The 26,584-nt window shown below is 35.6% G+C and overlaps 1 protein-coding gene across 31 annotated transcripts in view; it reads right to left on the minus strand.

Annotated features, from left to right (window-relative positions):
• The window catches only part of RFX3 (regulatory factor X3), a 307,705-nt gene that overhangs the window by 99,083 nt on the left and 182,038 nt on the right, over window positions 1-26,584 (minus strand). For all 31 annotated transcript variants that reach the window (XM_047423701.1, XM_047423699.1, NM_001282116.2 and 28 more), the window contains one exon: window positions 12,880-13,138. In XM_047423701.1, coding sequence (XP_047279657.1) covers window positions 12,880-13,138 — 259 coding nt within the window. The remainder of the gene's footprint in view (window positions 1-12,879; window positions 13,139-26,584) is intronic.

The following is a 26,584-nucleotide window of genomic DNA, read 5'->3' on the forward strand; positions in this document are numbered from 1 at the left end:
AAAGACTTAAATGTTAGACCTAAAACTGTAAAAGCCCTAGAAGAAAACCTAGGCAATACCATTCAGGACATAGGCATGGGCAAGGACTTCATGACTAAAACACCAAAAGCAATGGCAACAAAAGCCAAAATTGACAAATGGGTTCTAATAAAACTAAAGAGCTTCTGCACAGCAAAAGAAACTACCATCAGAGTGAACAGACAACCTACAGAATGGGAGAAAATTTTTACAATCTACCCATCTGACAAAGGGCTAATATCCAGAATCTACAAAGAACTTAAAACAAATTTACAAGACAAAATCAAACAACCCCATCAAAAAGTGGGCAAAGGATATGAACAGACACTTCTCAAAAGAAGACATTTATGCAGCCAATAGACACATGAAAAAATGCTCATCATCACTGGCCATCAGAGAAATGCAAATCATAACCACAATGAGATAACCATCTCACACCAGTTAGAATGGCGATCATTAAAAAGTCAGGAAACAACAGGTGCTGGAGAGGATGTGGAGAAATAGGAACACTTTTACACTGTTGGTGGGACTGTAAGCTAGTTTAACCATTGTGAAAGACAGTGTGGCGATTCCTCAGGGATCTAGAACTAGAAATACCATTTGACCCAGCCATCCCATTACTGGGTACGTACCCAAAGGAGTATAAATCATGCTGCTATAAAGACACATGCACACGTATGTTTACTGCAGCACTATTCACAATAGCAAAGTCTTGGAACCAACCCAAATGTCCATCAGTGATAGACTGGATTAAGAAAATGTGGCACATATACACCATGGAATACTATGCAACCATAAAAAAGGATGAGTTCATGTCCTTTGTAGAGACATGGATGAAGCTAGAAACCATCATTCTGAGCAAACTAGTGCAAGGACAGAAATCCAAACACCACATGTTCTCACTCATAGGTGGGAACTGAACAATGAGAACACATGGACACAGGAAGGGGAACATCACACTCCGGGCACTGCTGTGGGGTGGAGGGAGCGGGGAGGGATAGCATTAGGAGATATACCTAATGTAAATGACGAGTTAACGGGTGCAGCACACCAACATGGCACATGTATACATATGTAAGAAACATGTACGTTGTGCACATGTACCCTAGAAATTAAAGTAAAATAATAATTAAAAAATTAAAATTAAAATTAAAAAAAAAAAAAAGCCCAGAAAGCAAATCTAGCCAGCTTGGCTTTTCATGTCCTCTTTAACCAGAAAGTAGCTAAAGACAAAATCTTTTCTAAGGTTTTATAAATGTTCAAATACATGAAATCTTTTCCTTTCTATTCACTGATAATTTTATGACGTCTAGAGAAAAAAATTAAGTTATTATGCTTTCAACCTGAAATTTTGGCAATTTTGTACCAAAGTTGTAACCTGAAGTTATTCTTAACATTTTCATAGCGGGGAGAAAAACGGTTGCCTAAGAAACCTTATAAATTGAATGTGTTCTGAGAACATTTGGCTTATTTTGGGATGCTGGGTTGAAATCAAGATTGTCTTTTTGGACTTCTTTGATTATTCTGTGGAGCCCAGATTCCCCCACCCTCACTAGAAGCCTATGAGTCTGTGACGATAAAACTAGTTTCTGAGACATCAAGTACAAAAGCACTTGGGAGTTGGAATTACCCCTCAGAAATTTGCTGGGTTAGAATTAAATAATAGGATTTAAACTCCATCTTACATTTTCAAATGGTCTCTGCATTTTGCAGTTTATTCTGAGTATAAGAACATTTTCACTTTGTAGTTAGTCTCCGTAATCACTAAAACAGGCTTTTAAAGTGTGGTCTTGGACCAGCATTTTCAGTATCCCCTGGGCACTTGTTGGAAATGCAAGGGGCCCTTGCCCACACTGACTGAATCGAAAGTCATTGGGGTGAGATCCAGAGATGTGTTTTAATCAATGCTCCAGAGGATGCACACTCAAGTTTGAAAACAGTTTCACTAAAACATGATCTTTTTTTTTTTCATTGCCAGAGTCAGACTGCAATGACTACTTAAGGGAATATAAATAGGTAGGTAACGGACATTCCCACAATGGTGCCAGTTAACTCTAATTAAAGGGTGATTCTGCAATCTTAAGTATTATTTGCATTCATGATTCTCTTTCACTCTCTTGCTATCCAATCCTGCCCAATCTTTAGGCAATTTTGAACTTGTATAAGCAATATTATCAGAAGGTAAGCACAATTTTGATAAATCTAAAATTAATCAATTGATAACATATGAACATTTGTGATTTAAAAAATAATGTGGCAAGAAAGTAGTTGAAACTAACCCTAAAAAGAAGTCTGGAGGCTATTTGTGAATTTGTATTTTTGCCTTACAGGATTAGGTACCTTTCAGTGCAGGAACTAGCTCCATTAGCCCATACTGTTAAGTCTTCAAATTCACAGAAGCACAGTGCCTGGTCAACAGTAATACCTCAATAAATGTTTGAGAAAGTCAGTGACCGAAAAAAAAAAAAAAACTCAGATTCTCAATACATAAATACAAATACAAACATCAACTTTCATTCCAAAATGTTGAACAGTAAGAATGGCTCTAAAAATTTCAAATGAATTAAATGCCAGTTTTCACTGTCTAAACTTTCAACAGTCTAATAAATGAGGACTTTATCTGAAACCTAGGATCAGGGTTTAATGTGAACTGTGACACCTCACAGACAATATTAATACTGGGCACATAAAGGATTTGCTTTATCTACATGCATTTGGGGAATATGACCAAATAGATATAATGTATAATCATTAAGAGCTTGTCCAAAATTTTTAAAAATAACAAGTGACTTCTTTTTTTTAATAGATAATATATTCACATGCCTCCCACCTTTTATTCTTCATGTATCCTTCCTAAAGACATCTTTAGGATTGGCTGGGCGTGGTGGCTCACGCCTGTAGTCCCAGCACTTTGGGAAGCTGAGGCAGGCGGATCACTTGAGGCCAGGAGTTTGAGACCAGCCTGGCCAAAACAGGGAAACCCCATGTCTACCAAAAATTACAAAAGCTAGCCGGGTGTGGTGGCGCATGCCTGTACTCAGCTACTTGGGAGGATGAGGCAGGAGAATCACTTGAACCTGGGAGTCAGAGGTTGCAGTGAGCCGAGATCAAACCACCGCGTTCCAGCCTAGGTGACACAGCAAGACTGTCCCACCCCCTCCATAAAAAAAAACAAAAAAAAAAACTTTAGGATATCTTATATAAGCACATAGTAATATGTGTTTCTATTTACACACACACACACTACTCTGCTTTTTCGCTCAACATGGAGACTTTTTTCATATAAATGTGTACATATGTGTGTGTGCATATATATACATACATACACACACATATGTGCCTATATATACATATAATGCATGCTACATAGCATATATATATATATATATATATATATATATATATATATATATAGCCTCATTATCTAGGGGCTACATGTAATTCCACTTAAGAGATAAAAGTACTAACGTTTATTTGCATATTTCCCTGCTGATGGATAAGGCAGTTTCCAGTCTTTTTCTTTTTTGAGACAGAGTCTCTGTTGCCTAGGCTGGAGTACAATGGCGTGATCTTGGCCCACTGCAAACTCCACCTCCTAGGTTCAAAGCGATTCTCCTGCCTCAGCCTCCCAAGTAGCTGAGATTACAGGCATGTGCCACCAAACCCAGCTAATTTTTCTATTTTTAGTGGAGATGGGGTTTTCACCATGTTGGTCAGGCTGGTCTCGAACTCCTGACCTCAGGTGATCCACCCGCCTCAGGCTCCCAAACTGCTGGGATTACACACGTGAGCCACCGCCCCCGACCCCAATCTTTTTCTATTACAAATAAGTCTACAACAAATATAGTTTTTATGTAGCATTTCATATACATAACAGTATTATCAGTATGGTAAATTCCCGGAAGCACACTGACTGAGTCAGAGGATATGTGTATTTTTAATTTTGATAAAAAATTTCCACATTGCTCTCCAATTCTGTGCCAATTTAGATTCCCATCAATCATGATTGAGAGTACCTATTTCCTTGCACACTTGGCAAGGCTTACCAACCTCTTCCGCATTGCTTGTATGGGATGAAAGGTGGTATTTCTTTGTAGTTTATTTTTCACTTCCTTTTCATTGGACTGCCTGTTCTTGTACTTGCTCTGTTTTTGTTATTTTTTCTGATGAATTTGTAAGAGTGGTCTATAAATTTAAAAAATTAGTCCTTTGAGTATAATACCTCAAAACTTTATGCCAGTTTGTTGTTTCACCATTGCCTTTGTTTATTGTGGTTTTCTCAGCAGGATGTTTTCACCTTTACATAACTGAGTTTATCAATATTTTTCTTATAGCTTCTGGATTTTATATTATGCTTCCCACTCTAATGATAAAACACACTTTTCTATCCAAGTGAAATTAATTTTGATATAAAGACTAATATATGAACCAATCTAATTTTCTTTTATAAATATATAAATATTCAGTTGTTCCAAATATCATTTACTGATAATCCATGACTTCTCAACTCACAGGCAATGCCTCCTTTAATATATACAATATTCCTGCATGCATTTGGCCTACTTGGTCTCTAGTCTTTCATTTACTAGTCTATTCATGTGCTTAGATAATTGTTTTAATTATTATAATTTTATATACATTTTAATATCTGATAGGTTGTTTCCCTCCACCCCATCCCTCATTATTTTTCTTTTTACAAAATTTTCTATAAATTCTTGCAAGTTTATTTACATGAACAGCCTTTCTTGTCAAAAAAACTATTGGTATTATGATTGAGATTATGTTGAAACATTTTATGTTAACTTAGGGAGGTTAAATGTTTAATATTGAAATTTCTTATCCAAGAATATGGTATGCCTTTCCAGTTATTCAAGTTTCCTTTTGTATCCCTGGCGAACTTTAGGTGTTTTTTATTCAGCAATTGGATCTTGCACACTTATTATTAGTTTGTTGCCAGGCATTTTTTGTTTTTATTATAAATGAGATCTTTGTTTCCATTATATTTTCTAACTATCTAGAAAAGCTATTGATTTATTTGTGTATTAATTTTGTGGCTGGGTGCGGTGGCTCAGGCCTGTAATCCCAGCACTTTGGGAGGCCGAGGCAGGTGGATCACTTGAGGTCAGGAGTTCAAGACCAACCCAGCCAACATGATGAAACCCTGTCTCCACTAAAAATACAAAAGATTAGCTGGGTTTGGTGGCAGGTACCTGTAATCCCAGTTACTAGGGAGGCTGAGATAGGAGAATCGCTTGAACCCAGGAGGTGGAGGTTACAGTGAGCTGAGATTGTGCCACTGCACTCCAGCCTGGGTGACAGAGTGAGACTCCATCTCGAAAGAAAAAAAAATTGTACTGCCACCTTACTAAAATGTCTTATTAGTTGTTATAGTTTTTAATTTCATTCTCTATGATTTTTATCAAGTACACAATCACATCATCTACAAGTTCTGACCTCTTTACCTCCCTTTGAATTTGTATTTCCTTTCTTTTGCCTAACTGCATCTTTCCTGTAATTTTGAAAGCACAATTAAACATCACATCTTCCTTTCCTATAAGACAGATGAAAAAGTCACTCAAACTTACACTTAGTAAATTTTAAGTGTATGTGTAAAATTATTTCTAAGTCCGTAGATTACAAAACTCCTATGTCATGAAATTTACTGCCACCAATAGTTACAATCAAATGCCATAATTAGAGTTTAAAGGAAACCAGATAATTCTGTGGCAAATAAAGACAACAACTGGAGTTACATGTACTGAGAAAGTGGTAATCAAATCACATGCTTTGGGGGATGAACTAATATGCACAGGAACATGGAGAAATTCTTTCTCAGAGAACTGACAATTGGTCATAGGCACTGTGTCGTATTTTTCCCCTTTAAATTAAACACATGGGCCAGTAGAAGAGGCAGTATTGAAACTTTCTGAGTCTAATATTGACTCATATGTCACTCTTAGACTACAATGTATTAATATTTTAATCTGTAGCAATGCATTTCATATTTTATCTGGATTATCTAATTTTTATAAGTGAAGCATTAAGTTGGTGGAGTTTTTTTCTTTAAAAATTATGTTAGTTTCAAACAAGTAACTTAACGTGAAACTTGACTTGTAAATCTAAGGAAGGATCAAGCAAAAGATATATAAGAGGTTGCCTGAGGTACAGGTTACTTTAATATTTATAAGTAGAATTTATGAGCATCATTAAACTTTGCTTATCTAGATCTTGTATGACATAGAATCTAGCTTTTTCTGGCATGTTACCCATACACCTGTGTTCTGAAATGCTGTTTCAAATATGAAGTAGCTAAAAAATAAAATAATTCATTATATTTTGCTTTAAAATTCAGAGGAATTCACTGGCTATGCTCAGGAGAGAATGAAGGATGCTGTGATTCTCTTTGTCTTAACCTGCTAGTTTATCAAGATTTCTAGGAGTGGAATGTCTTACAGCCCTAATGGTAAAATTACTGCCTCTAGATCTTATCAGCTTCGAGGCTGGAGCAGTGTGGAACTGACTGACAGCTGAATGGAATACAGATGAAGTGATGGAGACTACAAGTCATTCAAAGTCCCATTTTATTAAATGCTTTGAAAATGAGGCCCAGAACCTTCAGTCAATTTATGATTTAGTGTAGGAAACAGACGGTTCATGGTAATCTGTCTGAGGAGTTTCATTTCAGGGACTGAGTTGGCCTAGGGAAAAAGGGACACAGGAAAACAGAAAAAGCTAAGATCATAATGGTGATACATGTTCCTGCCAAAATAAGTGGACAGAGTCTTTTTTTAAAAAATATTGAGGCTAACTGTAAAACTTAGTAAATTATTTTAAATAGAAATTACTGTTTTGTCACATAAAATAAGAACTGTGATTTATGCATAATTTATGCATACTTCTAACTTAAAATTTCTTCTAAGCATATCTTCATATATGATAATTAAACAGAAGCGTTCATCTCATGTAACTATATTGCTTTTCTGTCTCGATGTAGTCATAACCAATAATCCAATATTATTTCAACATTTTTTCCTCTGGTAAGATAGATGGGCAATTCAGCTCCTTCTAATATAATCATTTCCCTTAAATATAAGGGAGTTCTTCGTGTGCTAATATGAAACAAAAAGTCTCCAAGACATATTGTTAGGTGAAAAAAAGCAAGATGCGGCATTTTTCTTACCATTTGTGTAAAAAAAAAAAAAAGAGAGAGGGAGTGAAAAAATATATATTCTGCTTGAATATTCTGCTAGAATATTGTTAGAATAATACTTAAAAAACTTGGTGGCAGGGAGTGGTGGCTCATGCCTGTAATCCCAGCACTTTGGGAGGCTGAGGCGGGCAGATCACCTGAGGTCAGGAGTTTGAGACCAGTGTGGCAAACATGGTGAAACACCGTCTCTACTAAAAATACAAAAAATTAGCCAAGCATGGTGGCGGACACCTGTAATCCCAGCTACAAGGAAGGCTGAGGTGGGAGAATCGCTTGAACACGGGAGGTGGAGGTTGCAGTGAGCCGAGATCACGCCACTGCACTCCAGCCTGGGTGGCAGAGTGAGACTCCATCTCAAAAAAAATCAAAAATCAATAAATAAAAAAATAAGAGAGAACTTGGTAATACTGGTTGCCTCTAAGGATGAGAATTGGGAAACGGGTGAGAGAGACTCATGTACTTTCTTATATCTTTTGAATGTGCAACTTAAGAATGTATAACTAATTCGTATAAATAAATTAAAATTTTGAAATCAAACACATGGCCATTGGTAACGTAGCAGCAAAAGAATAAGAAGGTAAAATTATTTTGAAGAGCTAAACATATTTATACTCTTAGAAAAAGCATTCCCTTACACCAAATTCATAAACATGCCAAACCAAGAATAAATAAATAAAAGCACTCATAATTCTTAAATGAATTCTTAACTTTCTATTAATTATATAAACTAGGCCAAACTTTTACTTATATAGCAGCAGATGGACTTTCAAATTTTCCTCCAAATAATTAAATAAATTATAATATTTTACATTAATCAAAAGAGGTGGGAATATGAACAATATTAATTTCAAGATATTTTTCTTGTGCCTCTTGGCTGGGATCTAATGTTAGCAACAGCCCATTTAAATGTATATACATAAAGGTGTAAAAATTAACTTTCATATCACGGTCTCAAAAATGATTAATGTAATCTTAAGTATTAAGAAGAATTTAAAAAACTCATACATAACCATCTAATTATAAGAATAAAAATATTATTTTATGTAAGAGTGAGTAAATAAGGCTTTTTAAAGCAAGTTGGTAATTATTGCATACTCTGGTATAAGATAAATTATGTTGTGATGAGCACCAAAAAAAATCACTAACTACATTCACAAATTTTTAATCTTCAAGTGAAAAGTATGTTCAGGTTCCAAAACTCTAAAATTCTATAAATGATGTGATTATATAGAAAAATAATCATGAAAATACTTAGAATTTCAAATGAATAAAAGCAGAGGGAAATATTATGTTGATATAGTTAGAAGACAGATGTATAATGAGTTCAGAATTATGACTGTAGCCAATTCTTCTACCTTAATGTCCATGTGCTACTGAAATATTAACAATAAACAGATCCCTAACATATTCAGGTCGCAACTTAGCTGAACCCATATCCAGTGATGATTCAATAAAAATGTTATAACATCTTTCTGAAAATTGCTATTTAATATTATCCGCAGGAAATGCCTTTTAAATGTATGTGTATGTATTTATATAAGTAAAAGCATAGATGTATATATCTATATACATATATATAATTATACACACATGGACCATATAAAAGGAAACAGTAAATCAAAGGAGAAATAGTATTTTGACTAAATTTGAGTATTAGTAGTTGATATAATATATTCATCATATAAAATTTAATTTGTTACCAAATTAACAAATGCTGACTTTATAAACTTTTATTTTAAGTTCAGGGGTATTTGTGCAGGATGGGCAGGTTTGTTACATAAGTAAATGTGTGGCATGGGGATTTATTGTACCAATTATTTCATCACCTAGGTATTAAGCCTATTATTCATTATTTTTCCTGATCCTCTCCCTCCTGCCACCCTCTACCCTCCTCTAAAGCCCAGTGTGTGCTGTTCCCCTCTATGTGTCCATGTATTCTCATCATTTAGCTTCCACTTACAAGTGAGAACATGCAGTATTTGGTTTTCTGTTCCTGCATTAGTTTGCTAAGGAAAATGGCCTCCAGCACCATCCATGTTCCTGCAAAGGACATGATCTCGTTCTTTGTTACGGGTGCATAGTATTCCATGGTGTATATGTACCATATTTTCTTTATCCAGTCTATCACTGGCAATTATCACATCAAGGCAACTATTCTAAGGACTGGAGCAGAAAACTTTGCCATAGGAACTGGGTAACAGTGTTTGCTTTGTGCTGTTTCCAAGTACCCAAACATAGCTAGTTTTACATCAACTGAATTAATTGACTATGCATTACACTTACTGATAGCCCCCTAAGGAGTGACCCAACGGACTATTTCTCAGTCAAGAATTTCGGCCACAGTATATGCTACTATTGCACAGTAGGCTGCATCAGTCATTCTATAGGTTATATGTCGAACACTAAAGAACAGTGAGAAAAACTGAACTTATATGGTACAGATAGGCTCAATGTTTGGAAAGAAATGGCTTGAGTCTTGACCAACAAATCTTTAAAGATTGTGTTCATATACAATCTTTTCTCTGATTCTACAGTAAAAGAAAAATATACATAAACTCAATTAAATCCCATTTAATGGCATGGCATCTCCTAAAAAAAAAAATCTTGATTTTTAGGAGTGAAAACAATCAAAAATCTATGGTTAGCATTTCTCACATTTGGCAAGAGGCACATGATATGAAATCTTAAATAGGTTTCACGGCACTTCAACTTTGTTAATTTTACTACAGTAACAGATGTGAAACTGTAAACTGAGAATCACAACCTCACTGTGAGTCAAGCAGATCTTCAGTACAATTGAGACGGGGATTTAAATTAAATATACTTTTCAATAATCAATTCAAGGTAATACAATAAACACTAGCAGAAGTATATTTAGACAAGTACCGCACTATCAATCAATATGGGCTTGGTGAGATCACTTTGTGATTTTTCCATACAAAAGTTACTTTTTTTTTAATTTTTATACTCCTTTTGTTAAAAAGGAAAATTTTCTTATTTAAAAAAACGCAAAACAAAAAAAAATCACCTTAGAATTTTTATCCTTAACAAAACAACCTCAAATATGAATATTTTTAGTATAAAATTAATATGTACAACTGATATTATAAATTGGTGTTTTGTAACAGTTTTCAACTATTCCCAGTTTTTATAATTCAGTTATCTGTTTAATTTACCAGTTAGTATAATAAAAATCACACATCAAATTTGTATAATGGATAACTTAAGGAATAATGCCACCTTTCATACATACATACCTACATAGAAAGTGTATACCTTATCAAAAAAAAAATAGAAGAAGAATCCTCAAACTATAAAGGTTAGCAATGCAACTGTATTTACATGAGCTGGATTAAACAATTTGGTTAATTTAGTGAGAGAGCAAGTAAATTTAGTAAACCCACACCCAGTTGATGAGGATGTTAAACAGGTATCAGAATCAGCATGAAGGCAAGTAGGAATACCTAGAAGAGGTGAGGTAGGAAAGGAATGGGGTTTCGAAGGATGGTAGGTTAGGATAAGACAGGGTGGATGAAATGAAAGTGGGAAAGGTAAATTTTGCCCCGTTTTTCAGTTTTCCTAAGGCCTTGATAAGTGGTATTTTCCTTTCACTGAAAATAATTTTCTAGGTGGCCTATAGGAGGAGTGCTATATACTACTGCCACCATTTTCTATCTCTTTTCTTTTTATGTTGAAGCTATAGTTACTTTTACATTTAGAATATTTTATAATTCCTTTGTAAATCTAATGGTGCTAAAGCTAGGAGGAAACTAGGAAATCATTTAGTCTAACTAACCCCTTATTTTATTGATAGGGGAACTGAGATCCAGAAAAGCTATGGTTTATTAGTAGCAATCCCCTTGTAATCTACATAAATATACTGATGTGACTAAAAGGTTTAAAATACTGTATTTAATATTATTAAAAGGAAGAGACAACAAATACACATAAGAAATGCTTCAAAATTACAAAGAAAAAAATTACAAAAAGGAACTCTCCGCTCAGAACAGCTAGTCATCTGTTCTGATGTTAGTAACAAATAGCGAATTAAAATAAAGAGTTTTTTAAAAATAAATTAGGGAAAAGGCACTGAATGATGAAAGTAGGAACACATGAAATTACTACAAATACACAAAGTATATACAAAGTACTTACCAAGCACATATAATATCCTGGAGAAAATCCATAAAATGAGAAATATAAAGCTTCTCATATTACTATTTTCTCCCCAATTTATTTCTATCTCTATTTCATTGCAAGAACAAACTATATGATGAAATGATAAAATGGGATACATCTCCTTAATTCAAATCCCCAGCACCCTTTTATATGTAATACCTAGAAAATCTATTTCATTGCTGCTTTAGCTATGTGGTTCTAAATGACCATTCTCATATGCTTAGTAGAGGTGAAAAGCAGAAGTTCAGGCTACAAAGTTTGATGATATCAAATTCTGCAAAATTTTCTATGACTATTTCTATTACATCATTTCAGTACGCTAAAATACATTGTGTTGGCCGGGCTCAGTGGCTCACATGCCTGTAATCCCAGCACTTTGGGAGGCTGAGGAGGGTGGGTTACCGAAGGTCAGGAGTTCGAGACCAGCCTGGCCAACATGGTGAAACTCCATCTCTACTAAAAAATACAAAAATTAGCCAGGCATGGTGGCATGTGGCTGTAGTCCCAGCTACCTGGGAGGCTGAGGCAGGAGAATCACTTGAACCCAGAAGGCAGAGGTTGCAGTGAGCTGAGATTGCACTATTGCACTCCAGCCTGGGCCACAGAGTAAGACTTCATCTCAAAAAAAAAAAAAAAAAAAAACAAAAAACCACCAAACAATAACCCACTGTGTTAAAATAATCTATTAAATTTAACTTAAATATGTATGCTCCTAAGATACTGTTTGCTCATATCTATGATCAGAGCCAACACAAATATTTTTCATCTGAATCACCTATAGTAATGCTTTCTAAAGTATCTCTCTGGTGGAATGCAACACGAATTTACATATGGCACATGGGTAAACATTTTTAACTTTACTATTTAAATATTGATTTCAATATGTATTAGGAAAAAATTACACACGATTTTCTATTTTAAAAGTGAGTCAACTTGGAAAACATATTAAGTTAATAATAATACAGGTGGCATGAGAAAATGGCAAAACTTACATGTCTAAGGTTTGGGATGCTGGCTTACATAATATAACTTCTCTGGGCATGAGCTAGCATAAATATTATTGTTGAAAGATGTGAAAATTCCAAGCTAAATTATATTTTATTCTCTGTATTACTGCCTGGCTTTTATCTCATAAAGTAAGCATAATATGAAAGTGAGTTCTTTCTATATAAATTTAAGATATTTTACTGATGGAAGACAGCTTATTAAAGCCAGCAGTTTAATGAGTAAAACTCACCTTTCTAATTGCCAGTAAAATTAAAAACTCTAATTCACCTGATTAGAGGGCATATGTATCAGTAACATTCTGCATAATACTACATATACTACATTCTGCAAACTCTCAATACTAAAACTATCCAACACATTCTTGCCCCAGTCCCATCTGTGTTGTTCTTTTCCCTCTATCAAAGGAAATGTTCATTAGAGACTATTAAAAGCTAAACTAAACTACTAAAAATTCAAATACTTACTGTCGCTGGGGAGGCCCGAGTTGTGTGTGTCACTGAGTGACCAGAATTCTCCATTGAGTTGCCGATCAGATAGGTTCCTCCAGAGCTGCTGATGAGTTGTCCTCCTGTGACGCCCATCTGAATCCCACCAGTGCCCACCATACTGTGGGATGAGACCACGGTAGTCACCTGGGCGGAACTCCCTTGAGTATCAAAGTAATTCCCTCCAGTATTTTGGCTGTACATCTGTGTCTCTGTGTAAGGATACGTTGTTGTTCGGCTTTAGAAGAAGAAGAAAAAAGAAATTTACTAGCTTATTTATGTCATCTTATTAATTTTTTTCTAATATGAATGTAATTGAAATATATTGGTTGGCTTAGCCTTTGCAACATGGCAAGTTTCGCATTTTGTACAAAACTTCATTCCCAGAAACAGTTCGATTTACTTTTCAAATTAAGGGGCCACTCATTTAAATAAGTACCTCAACTAGTTTCTGTACTACAGAGATTTTGCCCTCTCCTGGTGCCTATCTCCAGCATATAAATAAGCTCAGGTCTCTTCCCTCCAAGAAATCTTGCTGAACAACTTCAATTGCTTATAAAATGTACTACAAATCCCAGTTTTAGAAAAGCTGGAACCTGGAATAAGTAGGAGTAGTGTGAGTAGTTGACTTAGCTCCTACTTAGCTAATACTCAGACTACTTAACATTCCTGGGTGACATCCAATAAACCTCCATGACTAAAGGAGCTATCATGGATCTCTTTCTTACCTCCATAAGGATCTTAAGCAAATAGTTTACTCACCCTGGACCCTAAGTCCCTCCCCATATCTCTCTTTCCCTTCACACTTAAGCTCCTCCTTTATAAGATGACTATTCTAACTCTTCATGTCCTCACTTTCCACTTTCCAACAACTACAGTCAAGCTTCTGCCCTTAGCCTTTCATTAGAACTGCTTTTAATAAGGTCACTTGTGACCACAGCTAAATACCAAGCTAAAAGACTCCTGTCAGTCCTTATCTCTTGTGACCTATCTATAGTATGACACTGTTGGCCACTCCATGTTACCCTTCCCTCCCTTTTCTGTTCTGATTAAGCTTATTTGATTCATCTATTTTTATTTTCAATTGACTATAACTTCAATTTTAAGAGGATCTTTTTAACTTTTTATTTTAAAATACTAAGTTCTCAAGAAGTTATAATATATATAGAACAGGTTTTAAACATTCAAATACAAAATTGAAATTCCCAGTTCTTTTGCTATTATCTTCAACGCCACCTCCTAAAGCTAGCCATTCCTGAGAGTTTGGTGTATATGTTTTCAGATCTGTCTTATATATATCTTAAAGCCTGGATGTCTTAACCTTTTTTGTCCCTTAGTTTCTATGGCTCTCCTTTTCCACTTTTTGCTTTTTACCATAACCTCTCAAGAGCCTTTTGGAATCTCCAATTTTTCTAGCACATCAAATATTAATATTTTTCTGAGTTTTCCATTTTGAGCTCTTATTTTTATTTAGATCAAAGACCTTTACCACATAAAGTACTGTATTACCATATACATGCTCTTAGTAAACAATCTTACATAAGTTGGTATCACTGCCCTCTTTACTTCCTAGTTATACTTTAAGAATATTAAATCTGGGTTTCTAACAGCCAAGTGGTCATCACTACTCAGAACTCCCATGAAATATGGGAGGCTGTGTAAAATTTAACGTATGATGAGATTCCATTCCTCTCTTGTTCTTTCTTCCACACTTCCGCTTCTCAGTAGAGGGCAGCACCACCATCCTCAGCTTTGGAAATTATTGCTTACTCTTCCCTCTGACTGACATGAGTTGCTGAGTCCTGTCAATGTTATCTTCTAAATAATTTTCCAATTCTCTTTTCCATTATCATACACACTACCTTAATTCATAATGTTCTCTATTATACAGGCTGAGAATACCTTATCAACAATGCTTGGGACCACAAGTGTTTTGGATTTTGGATTTTTTCAGATTTTGGAATATTTTCATATATAAAATGAGAGATCTTGGGGATAGGACCCATATCTAAATATGAAATTCAATTATGTTTCATATACACCTTATACACATAGCGTGAAGGTAATTTTATAAAATATTTTAAATAATTTTGTGCATGACACCAAGTTAGTATATATTGAACCATGAGAAAGCAAAGATGTCACTATCTTATGTTGCTGCTCAAAAACTTTCAAATTTTGGAGCATTTCAGATTTTGGATTTTGCATTAGGGATGATCAACCTGTAATTGCCTTCTAATGGATTTTCCCTTCTCTAATCAGTTGCTCTTGCAATCTATCTCCAACTTTGCTGCCAGGAGAATTTTCTGTAACGCAGATATAAAAATAAAACCGCTTAAAAACCTTTCCATGATTCTCTCTTGCCTTCAGAAAAAGTTCAAAACTCTTGTCCACTTTACAAAAATCATCAGGGGGTCGTGCCTACATAATCTCGAGACTTGGTATTAGCCATGTTATCAAATGCTCTCTTCACTCACATCATATTGACCATTTTTCTGGTCCTGACAAAGTGCCATTTTCTCTTGCCTTTCTGCTTCACTACATAAGGATTCCTCTGCCTGAAAGGCCCTTTCATTTTATTCCACCTCCCTGCCTTTGTCCTAATCATTCTTAAGCTCTCAACGGAAGCACCTTATCTCAAAATTATTTTCTGCATCCTTTGCCCTCTATGGCCACTCCTCACAGGACTGTTATGTTTTATGTTCTGTACTTTCCCAACATCCTTTGAATTCCTGAAACATAGCTCTCAATGTGTTGTTAATTTCCTCAAGTCTTCCTACTCCCATCAGTACTCTCAACACTTAACACAGTTGCTGGTACATAGCTGGCACACTAATCAGTCAGCAAATAAAAATATTTAAAAGTATGGTAGACGTAATAGCCAGTTTCATAAATTTCTGTATCACAAATCTTTTATTTTGTTAAAACATGAGAAATTATGCTAAACTACTCCAAGATTTTTGATTAATTTAAAACAAATACTTTTAATCCATTATAAATTATACTTGTAATTTACAATATATATTTTAGTAAAGTAATAAGAGTGTTCTGAAAGTATTCCACACTGGGTAAAGAGCCCTTTCCAGAAAGAGCCACAGCAAATCCAGGTAAAAAGTTTAGTCTGGGGTGATGATAGAAACAAATTCATAGAAAATGTTTTTTTTTTTTTTTTTCCAGATAGAAAAATGTCACTTAAAATACACGTACCATTCTTCTCATCACTGCTATATTTCCCAACTGGAAATCTCATTTGTTTCTTTATTTATATGTTTATTTAATAAAATAAAACAGCCATGTTGGTTTCAAATTTAGATAAAATGAGAAATGAGGTCATTTTAATTTTTGTCTACCGAATATGACAGTGGCCCCACTTAACTGTGCTTAAAATAGCACAATCTAATGTTGATATTTAAGTATAGTCAAATAAGCTGTACAAATAGATATAGAACAATAAATACTTTGAGAGATGCGGGACATGGTGCCCCCTTTCCTTTTCATCATCCAAGCAGGATGATTCAGGATGCCCCCTACTAGTAAGTAGATTTCTCAAATAAAACATAATAATAGCTAAATATAGCTAATATTTACTGACCATTTACTATGCAGCAGACACTATTCTATGTGCTTTTTAGGCATTAGCTCATTAAATTTTCATAAACTCCATGAGGTAGGTGCTGTTATATTAATAATTCCTATTTCGCATACAAGGTGAATAACTGAAGTTTGGATTGGTTGAATTACTTAGTCTAAAGCACAGAGCTGATGAATCATGGATCTGGAATCTACACTTAATGTATATTCTCAACCATTATGTCAAAAAAAAAGAACATAACTTTTTATATCTGTCAATGATATATGTTAACAACTACTAAGGAACAGCTTAACAAGTGGAATAGGGACCATATGAACTTCCTGTTGCTATTTGAGATTTCCTTACAGCTTACTTTACTGTTTTCTAGCACTACACTATTCTCCATTATTACCCAGAATGAGGCCTGTAGATGATGTACTTGCAATTGTAAAGAAGCCATGGAAAAGGCAGGGCCATTTCAGAAGATACTTACCACTTCGGATTGGAATTTTAGATGTTCTATGATCGTGGAAGTTGCTACCTCATCATAAGAAAAACATCCCAAGGGATCACTGCAGCTTTTGGGCCTGCCCTCTTTGTATCATTATACTCAGTAAAGAACAGTAATGCAAAAAAATGCATCACAGATATATGAAATATCTATATAGCCCTCAAAGTCAGTTCATAAGCTAAAAAATGACCAAAGAAGAGGAGAAGGGATAAAGTCACTAAAGAGTGTGCCTAATCCATAAACTATCCCCATCACTCCATCGTGCGACTGTGGAGAAGCCTTGGCTACTCTATAAACACACACTGGGGTAAAGAGTAGCAATTTTTAGGGAGAAAAAGCACAGAATTATATTAAGGAATGAAGTGTGATAAATTGTCTGAATTTGGCTTTGACAAAAATACACTTGCAGTTGGAAATGGGGGAGACTTTCAAACACTGGGTTGAGTAATACAGGCTGATTATAATATCCTTAGCTGGGCCAGGCGCGGTGGTTCATGCCCATAATCCCAGCACTTTGGGAGGCTGAGATGGGTGGATCACCTGAGGTCAGGAGTTCGAGACCAGCCTGGCAAACACGGTGAAATTTGTCTTTACTAAAAAAATACAAAAAATTAGCCAGGCATGGTGGCACGCACCTGTAATCCCAGCTACTGAAGCTGAGGCAGGAGAATCGCTTGAACCTGGGAGGTGGAGGTTGCAGTGAGCCGAGGTCACACCACTGCACTCCAGCCTGGGCAACAGAGCGAAACTCCATCTCAAAAAATAATAATAATAAAATAATAATAATAATATTCTTAGCCATTGTCCCTTAAAGGTAAGAAGGCAAGCATGAACCCACTTGTTCGAGTCCCTGGAGCCAAAGCCAGAGTCATGCACAAGTAACAGGTAACTCCTAAAGGTTTTTTCCATGTCTAAATACTTTAAGCTCCTGAATAAATACTTAAAAATTTATTTTAAAAAAGAAGCACCAACGGCAAAAATAAACAGTTCTTTTTTAGGTACTAGAAATAGACTCTCTAATTCTGATATCTCAGATCAGCTCATCTTTTATATTGTATACTGAATATATTCTTCATATGAGTTACTGCTTGCACACTATTTTCTCCAGAAATTTCCTAAACATATGTTCAAGAAAACGACTCAATTTTTGGCATATCAGATTGAAAGCAGCTAACTATTTCTGGACTGTACATTCCTGAAATAGATAAATCCCCAAGCAATTCTGTGCACATTTAAATGATACTGCTGTGTTCATTTTGTTTGTTCTGTATTGATTACCATAGACTAAGTCATGAAAATAATGTCATATTATTTCTATAGCAGAAGAGAAATCTTTCCATTGTTCTGCATATGTATCCAGTAATGAATATGAACACATCGATATGTGTATACTTGCCGACAGAAGCTTCTTCATAGCTGACTCTATTATAAGGTTCTATGTAAATGTCAGGACTCTGATTCATTGAATTCAGTAATTTAGTGCCATTTGTTTCCCATCATGCCTTAGCATACACCTTGGCTAAGGGTGACCCTGAATATTCCCTACTTACTTATTCACTAGGATGATTATGGCAATTTATCTTAGCTATAACCAGTTTTTTTCTGTTTTCTTTATCTTCAGGTGTCTTATCCACAATTCCAGATACTCAGTATCTCTAAATTCTTTATTTTGTATTTTACCAAGATGTTGAATGTCCTCCAACCAATAAGCTTGTCACTATAAAATCAACCAATGGCATGAAAGTGATACATTAAGGAAATAAAATAGCATGTAAATCTCATACCATAAATTGTATTATAAGGATAGAATATAGATATGGTGACCATTATCTCACATGGGTACAACATTTTATTGCTTTTAGGCTACTCTGCATACATTCTTTTAACAAATATTTAATAAGCATCTATTCTAGCACCTAGAATAAAAGGAACAACACAGACATGACCTCTACTATTATTAGGGCTACGTAACACAAGGAGAAAGTGGGCAAAAATTAGAAAGAAAATAAGATAATTAGAAGTTTTCCTCATTCCTATGAAAGCAAAAAAAAAATACAATATAAAAGTAGAATAAATAAGAGAGAGCATACCAAATAGGATAGTTAAGGAATGTTATCCCTGAAAGCCAGATTTTTTATTTAGATTGAAACTAAAAGATGAAAAGGAGTCAGCCCTATGGAAAACAAGAAGAATAAAATTTTAGGAAGACAGTACAAAAACTCATAACATAGCACACAACACAGGAAAGATCCTGATATTTAGAAGGAAATTAGAAGTCTGAAGTATTTTAGATATAACAAATGAGAAAGCTGTTAGAAAGAAATGAGGTTAAGGAAGGTAAAAACTAAACATGCATGCAGTGTAAACAATTTTCTTAACTGCAGGCCATGATCCAGTAGTGGGCCATGAAATTAGTTTTAATAGGTCACAACAGCATTTAAAAAAGAGACTAGACTAGACTAGAAAACATCAGTGCTTATTACACTTAATGAGAATAAGAATCATTTTTAGAAATTTTGTTTTTATCGTAAGAGAATATACACATAAATGATTTGTGTGTGAATGCCTGGGTATGTATGTGTGTACTTACCAGAGTATGAAATGTACGCCTAATTTTCTCACGGTGGATGATAGTTTTAAAAGCTTAAAAGCCACTGTTACAGACTATTGTAAGAAGTTTGGATTTTGATTTGGGCTGGGATAGTGGTAAAGGCCTTATGGGTAGGAGGAGGTAGGGCAATGTTCTAGCCAGAGAGACAACCTACAAAGTCCTGAGGCCAGAGAGGTAAAAATACACCATGAGAAAACGGAGTTGCAATCAGGGCCCATGACTGAGATGGGCCATGTAAGATGATTCTGGAACCTGTGAAATAGATACAATAATAAGAGGTGATCTTATTGGAAGCTTGCTCAGTGTAGTGAGGGCATTATATGTCTGATTGAACTAGACTGAGGAAATAACTAAAGGCAGCCAGAATGAGCAACTTTTTAATATCTTAGAAAAGTTTGAGAGCACAAGAGGTGCATTTGGAAACCAGGGACAAATATTTTTAAGCCAGGTACTGGCTTTTCCAACCTCCCTTACAAACAAGCTAAAGGAAATCAACTTAGGACTCAAATAACCAGGTGGACTTGCTCTAAACAAGGAGCTAGGGGCACAAAGCAATGGAAATGGTGACACACTGTAAGAGACATGTCATGTTTACAGTGGCAGTAGGGCCAGGACACAAGATCAGTACCCAGGGGTAGCAATGGCAGACAGTCTTTGGGATGGCTGCAGTGGTGTGGTGTCTGTACTGCACTATCTCTGTGCTACGGTTTTGTGCATGGTCTGGCTGCTGCCTGACATCACTTGTGCCTGCCTGTTTCCAGCTTGATTCTCCAGACTTCCTGGAAATTCTGTGAGTCACAAACATCTTTCAATAAATTCTTTGTCTTAAATAGGCCAGAGTTGGTTTCTGTTGCTTGAAACCAAGAACCTCTGCCTTAAACAGTTTCAAATTATGGAGTTTTTACATGGGCCACCAATACCCTGCAAAGAAGTAGCTACATTATTTGGAATCTTCAACAAAGTGCATATATATATGTAAAATCTGTGCCTGGACCGCATGCACTACTTATTTACTTATATGAGTTTCAAAACAGATATTCTCAAGACTGAATATCCGAATATTCATCAGACTGAAGGCAGAGGATACACCAGAAAGATGACATGTCTATTTTGTGGAAGACACCAAAAGGAAAACAGTACTTCAGAAAGGAATTCAAGTGACCTGATATTAAACCTCCCCTTACTACATAAGAATAAAAAAGAATAGGTTAAATATAAAGTAATAAACACTAAAGAATATCACTAATAAAACATTTGCTTTCACTTATATTCAAAAGACATACTTATTTCTTCTAACTTCATCTGCTATAACAAAAAGTAAAAAACAAAAAGCATTTATTCAGCCATTGCTACAGCTACTGGGGAGGAAATGCAAGAATAAATGTTAAAAGTCAGTAATACTTCTTGTAATAACTTACTGAGTTTTCTCCTTCATGTGTAGTATTTTCATTACTATGTATGTTGACAATGTACAGCATACTGGAATCATTTATACCATCCTATGATTATTTTGTAAGGATCGGCACATCTTTACTTAGCATTTAAATTCTTTATTTCTGTATGGTAGAACAGTGGTTCTCACATTTTTAATGTGCATCAGAATCACCCGGAGTGCCTGTTGCAACACAGAGAGCTAGGTCCCACCCCTAAAGTTCTTAATTCTGTAGAACTGGAGTGGGCACCAAAAGCTGGCATTTCTAACAAGTTCTCAGTTGATGTGAATGCTGCTAGCCTGGGGAATACACTTTGGGAACCATTGTACTAGTTGATACTACAATTATGAAACCTGATTTTCACAGGAACGAAAGGGAAAAAGTGTTTTAAAATTTATTCTAGGCCAGGCACGGTGGCTCACGCCTGTAATCTCAACACTTTGGGAGGCCAAGACAGGCAGATCACAAGGTCAGGAGTTCGAGACCACCGTGGCCAATATGAAGAAACCCTGTCTCTACTAAAAAATACAAAAATTAGCCGGGCGTGGTGGCGTGTGGCTGCAGTCCCAGCTACTCAGGAGGCTGAGGCAGGAGAATTGCTTGAACCTGGAAGGCAGAGGTTGCAGTGAGCCGAGATCGCACCACTGCACTCCAGCCTGGGCGACAGAGCAAGACTCCAACTCAAAAATAAAATAAAATAATTCTTTTAGCCTACTTGAGTTTAAAAAAAAAACCCCAAAGTCTACTGTTATAAAAAGGAATTTTATATTCTGTGGCCGTTGCTCATGATAACATTACCAAAATTTCCAGTGCTATAATGGTTTTTGAAGCATACCAAAAAGATATACATAGTCAGTACATATATGAGTCACTTGCCCTGACAACAGAGGTCAGGGAAATAAATATGGACTGAAATCAATTTTAGCAGAAATGGCATTATAAAAGATTTGATTTGAAGTCACCGATAAAAATTTATAAACAAGAAAAACCGAGTAACCACACACATGTACGTTAAGTCTCGAAAGTTTTTCACCAGAGGAAAAAACACAACAAAACAAATAAGAAAGCTGTGTGAATGCCACATCAGCATCTCAATTCAGTTTCATTCATTTTTTCCCTGTGTACTTAAAGCCACCAAGTAGTCAGCTCCTGTCTCACTGATCATTCAATGCTAATCTTTAATTCATTCAACAAATATAGATTGAGCACCTATCATGGGCCACTGTTCCAGGTATTAGACAGAGAACAGGATGCAAACAAACCAGGTCCCCGCCCACATGAAGCTTACATTCTAGTGGGGGAGAGACAAGTGATCAGTTAAGAATGAAATAAAAATGAAATAAAAGAGGATACAAACAAATGGAAGAACATTCCATGCTCATGGGTAGGAAGAATCAATATCGTGAAAATGGCCATACTGCCCAAGGTAATTTATAGATTCAATGCCATCACCATCAAGCTACCGATGACTTTCTTCACAGAATTGGAAAAAACTACTTTAAAGTTCATATGGAACCAAAAAAGAGCCCACATTGGCAAGTCAATCCTAAGCCAAAAGAACAAAGCTGGAGGCATCACACTACCTGACTTCAAACTATACTACAAGGCTACAGTAACCAAAACAGCATGGTACTGGCACCAAAACAAAGATATAGACCAACGGAACAGAACAGAGCCCTCAGAAATAATGCCGCATATCTACAACCATCTGATCTTTGACAAACCTGGCAAAAACAAGCAATGGGGAAAGGATTCCCTATTTAATAAATGGTGCTGGGAAAACCGGCTAGCCATATGTAGAAAGCTGAAACTGGATCCCTTCCTTACACCTTATGCAAAAATTAATTCAAGATGGATTAAAGACTTAAATGTTAGACCTAAAACCATAAAAACCCTAGAAGAAAACCTGGGCAATACCATTCAGGACATAAGCATGGGCAAGGACTTCATGTCTAAAACACCAAAAGCAATGGCAACAAAAGCCAAAATTGACAAATGGGATCTAATAAAACCAAAGAGCTTCTGCACAGCAAAAGAAACTACCATCAGAGTGAACAGACAACCTACAGAATGGGAGAAAATCTTTGCAATCTACTCATCTGACAGAGGGCTAATATCCAGAATCCGCAATGAACTCAAACAAATTTACAAGAAAAAAACAAACAACCCCATCAAAAAGTGGGCGAAGGATATGAACAGACACTTCTCGAAAGAAGACATTTATGTAGCCAAAAGACACATGAAAAAATGCTCATCATCACTGGCCATCAGAGAAATGCAAATCAAAACCACAATGAGATACCATCTCACACCAGTTAGAATGGCAATCCTTAAAAACTCAGGAAACAACAGGTGCTGGAGAGGATGTGGAGAAATAGAAACACTTTTACTCTGTTGGTGAGACTGTAAACTAGTTCAACCATTGTGGAAGTCAGTGTGGCGATTCCTCAGGGATCTAGAACTAGAAATACCATTTGACCCAGCCATCCCATTACTGGGTACATACCCAAAGGATTATAAATCATGCTGCTATAAAGACACATGCACACATATGTTTATTGCGGCACTATTCACAATAGCAAACACTTGGAACCAACCCAATTGTCCAACAACAATAGACTGGATTAAGAAAATGTGGCACATACACACCATAGAATACTATGCAGCCATAAAAAATGATGAGTTCATGTCCTTTGTAGGGACATGGATGAAACTGGAAATCATCATTCTCAGCAAACTATCGCAGGGACAAAAAACCAAACACTGCATGTTCTCACTCACAGGCGGGAATTGAACAATGAGAACACATGGACACAGGAAGGGGAACATCACACTCTGGGGACTGTTGTGGGGTTGGGGGATGGGGGAGGGATAGCATTAGGAGATATACCTAATGCTAAATGACGAGTTAATGGGTGCAGCACACCAGCATGGCACATGTATACATATGTAACAAACCTGCACATTGTGCACATGTACCCTAAAACTTAAAGTATAATAATAATAAAATTAAAAAAAAAAAGATTTAACAACTGAAGGTCATCAATGACCTTGATAAGGGCAATTGTATTGTAATGTGGAGAAGCAAGTAAGCTTGGAAGGGGCTGAAAAGCATGTGGTCAGCAGTATCTCAATTCAGTTTCATTCATTTTATCCCTGGTACTTAAAGCCACCAAGTAGTCGGCTCCTGTTTCACCCATCATTAAATGCCAATTTTATTTAATTCATTCAGCAAATATAGATTGAGCACCGATCATGGGCCATTGTTTTAGGTATTAGAGAGAGAACAGGGTGCCCTTCCATGGTCTTTTCCACATAAGGGCAGTCCTCTCTCCAAAAGAAATTTCTATGTAACCAGACATATACAATTACTGAAATCTAAATGGCAAGTGGATTCACAAATCAACTCCTATACCAGTCAGAATGTGTACATACGTAGAAGCATAAATGAAGAAAGCACCTCTGCATCTCAATTACAGAATTCCATGTAACCATTTCTCTTAAGGAGACAGCATTTGAATAATAAGAAGAAAGCATAATTTCACCTGCAAATATCGAAATTTCACATTCCACTTATAGAGGAAGAAAAGAGATTGAGAGATTGAAGAAATATTCCTTTTAAGGTTCCTTATTAATCTTTTAAAGTGTATGGGAAAATAATTAGATGACTTCAAAAATGCATTAATACATGATTTTCAAGAGATGACTATAGGTATAGTACTTTAAAAATGGATTTTAAATTATTCAATGTCAATATATATTAGTGTACCATTTCCCAAAGCATAACATGTGATTTTATTAGATATTACTCAGGTACAAGTATTCTCTGGTTCTATGCATTTCTATAGGACTTTTCAGAGCTTTTAAAAGGGTAACAGGAATTGAGGGTTCTCAAGAGAAACTGAATCACACAGTGTTTCACTGCTTGTGTAACCACAGAACTCTTAAGGGACTAATGTACAATGGATCATGGTATGAGAAGTTATGTACTGGAGTTGAGAAATCTATAATCTAAACAGGAAGACTACTAGAACAGATATCCATACAATGCATACTTTTGCATTTTAAAACACTGATTATCTCTAAAGAGTGGGCAAGTTTCAAAGAGTGGTTTATATAAGAAAATCCTTTAAAATAAAGATTTCTTAATTTGACCATAATACAGCATGATGTCTCTGTTTCCACTTCGACTAGCATGATGTAGGAGCGAGTGGGGGAAGTATGAGTCAAAAAAGAGTGGGGGAAGAAAAAAATCATTTTATTTTAAAAAAAAACTTCTTAGCTACACCAAGAAATTTCCATTGAAATGAACTCTCTCTACATGGTATGCAATGTTTCCAAGCAGGTTTAATCATAGTATTCTAATTGATTAAATATCATAAGTAGTAAGAATTTATAGAAATAAAGATGATGATCAAGCCTTTGGGAAATCTTGGAAAAACTACTGCAAGGAAATACACAAATGATGTAGCATGGGTTCCTACAGAAGCAAGGATAAAATAAACAGGGGCAAAAGTAATTAAATTACCTTCTCCCTTGAGCAAAAAGGTACTCTATTCCAACACACAGTGCTGTAAAGCAGTCTCAGTTGTTTAATTGAAATGTACACTCACTCACTAACCCACACTGTTAAGCCTGTTATGCTGGCAGTAATTGTCCATATTCACAGGGAGAATCGGGTAAACATTTTAGTATCATCAAATTATAATGATTACACATATTCATAAGTGACGACACATATCTGTGAGAGCTGTCATCACTTCTTGAGTGAGACCCCATGCATTATGGCTACATGACATGGGGACGCTGGTGACAAGAGCATTAGCGAGCTTACTAAGCATGCACAGGTTGTAGGGCCATGTACTGGGTGCTCAAAAGTTCATGATAAAGATCAGAGTCCCTATCTTCTGGAAGTATCATTAGCAAAAAGCATTTATTATCACACAGAAGTGGGACTCCGACTGTGATCCAAGTCAGGGATCAAACACTAACTTGCTGTTAATTCAGTGTGGTAGAACAGAATAATATGGAATATTCTTTCCTAACGTACATGGAAGTGTGCCAAATAAAAAGAAGTCATAGAAAGACCCTAAAATGAACATTAGAGACAAAAATTATAATAGTCAAATGTCAGCACTACAAAATTACAGAAAGACCAAAATAGCTTATGCTGAAAAAAATTTTCTAGTCCTATTTGAGAAAAAATACTTATGGTCGCTAGTTGCTAAAATTTTGAGTATACTTCATGGCAACACAATGACATTTCCTTATTAAGTATAAAAATGATGCTACAGAACCTTTAGTCAAAAATTATCCTTGATAGTAATGAAAGGTTTTTGAAGATGCATCTTCTCCCTCTTGACCAAAAGTGCACATTTGTGACATTATTGGCTAGAGTTGAGGATACAATTTGAGTCCACACAGACCAGATCAAAGCTAATTGGACTTTGTGACAAATGACCTCATGACCTAGACCTCATTAGTCATGATCTAACCAGCTGAGCTAGTGGGCCATAGAAAATACATGTTAGCACTAAATATTTGCTTTGAATCATTTC

This window comes from Homo sapiens, chromosome 9, assembly GCF_000001405.40.
Source record: "Homo sapiens chromosome 9, GRCh38.p14 Primary Assembly".
Classification (NCBI taxonomy): Eukaryota; Metazoa; Chordata; class Mammalia; order Primates; family Hominidae; genus Homo; species Homo sapiens.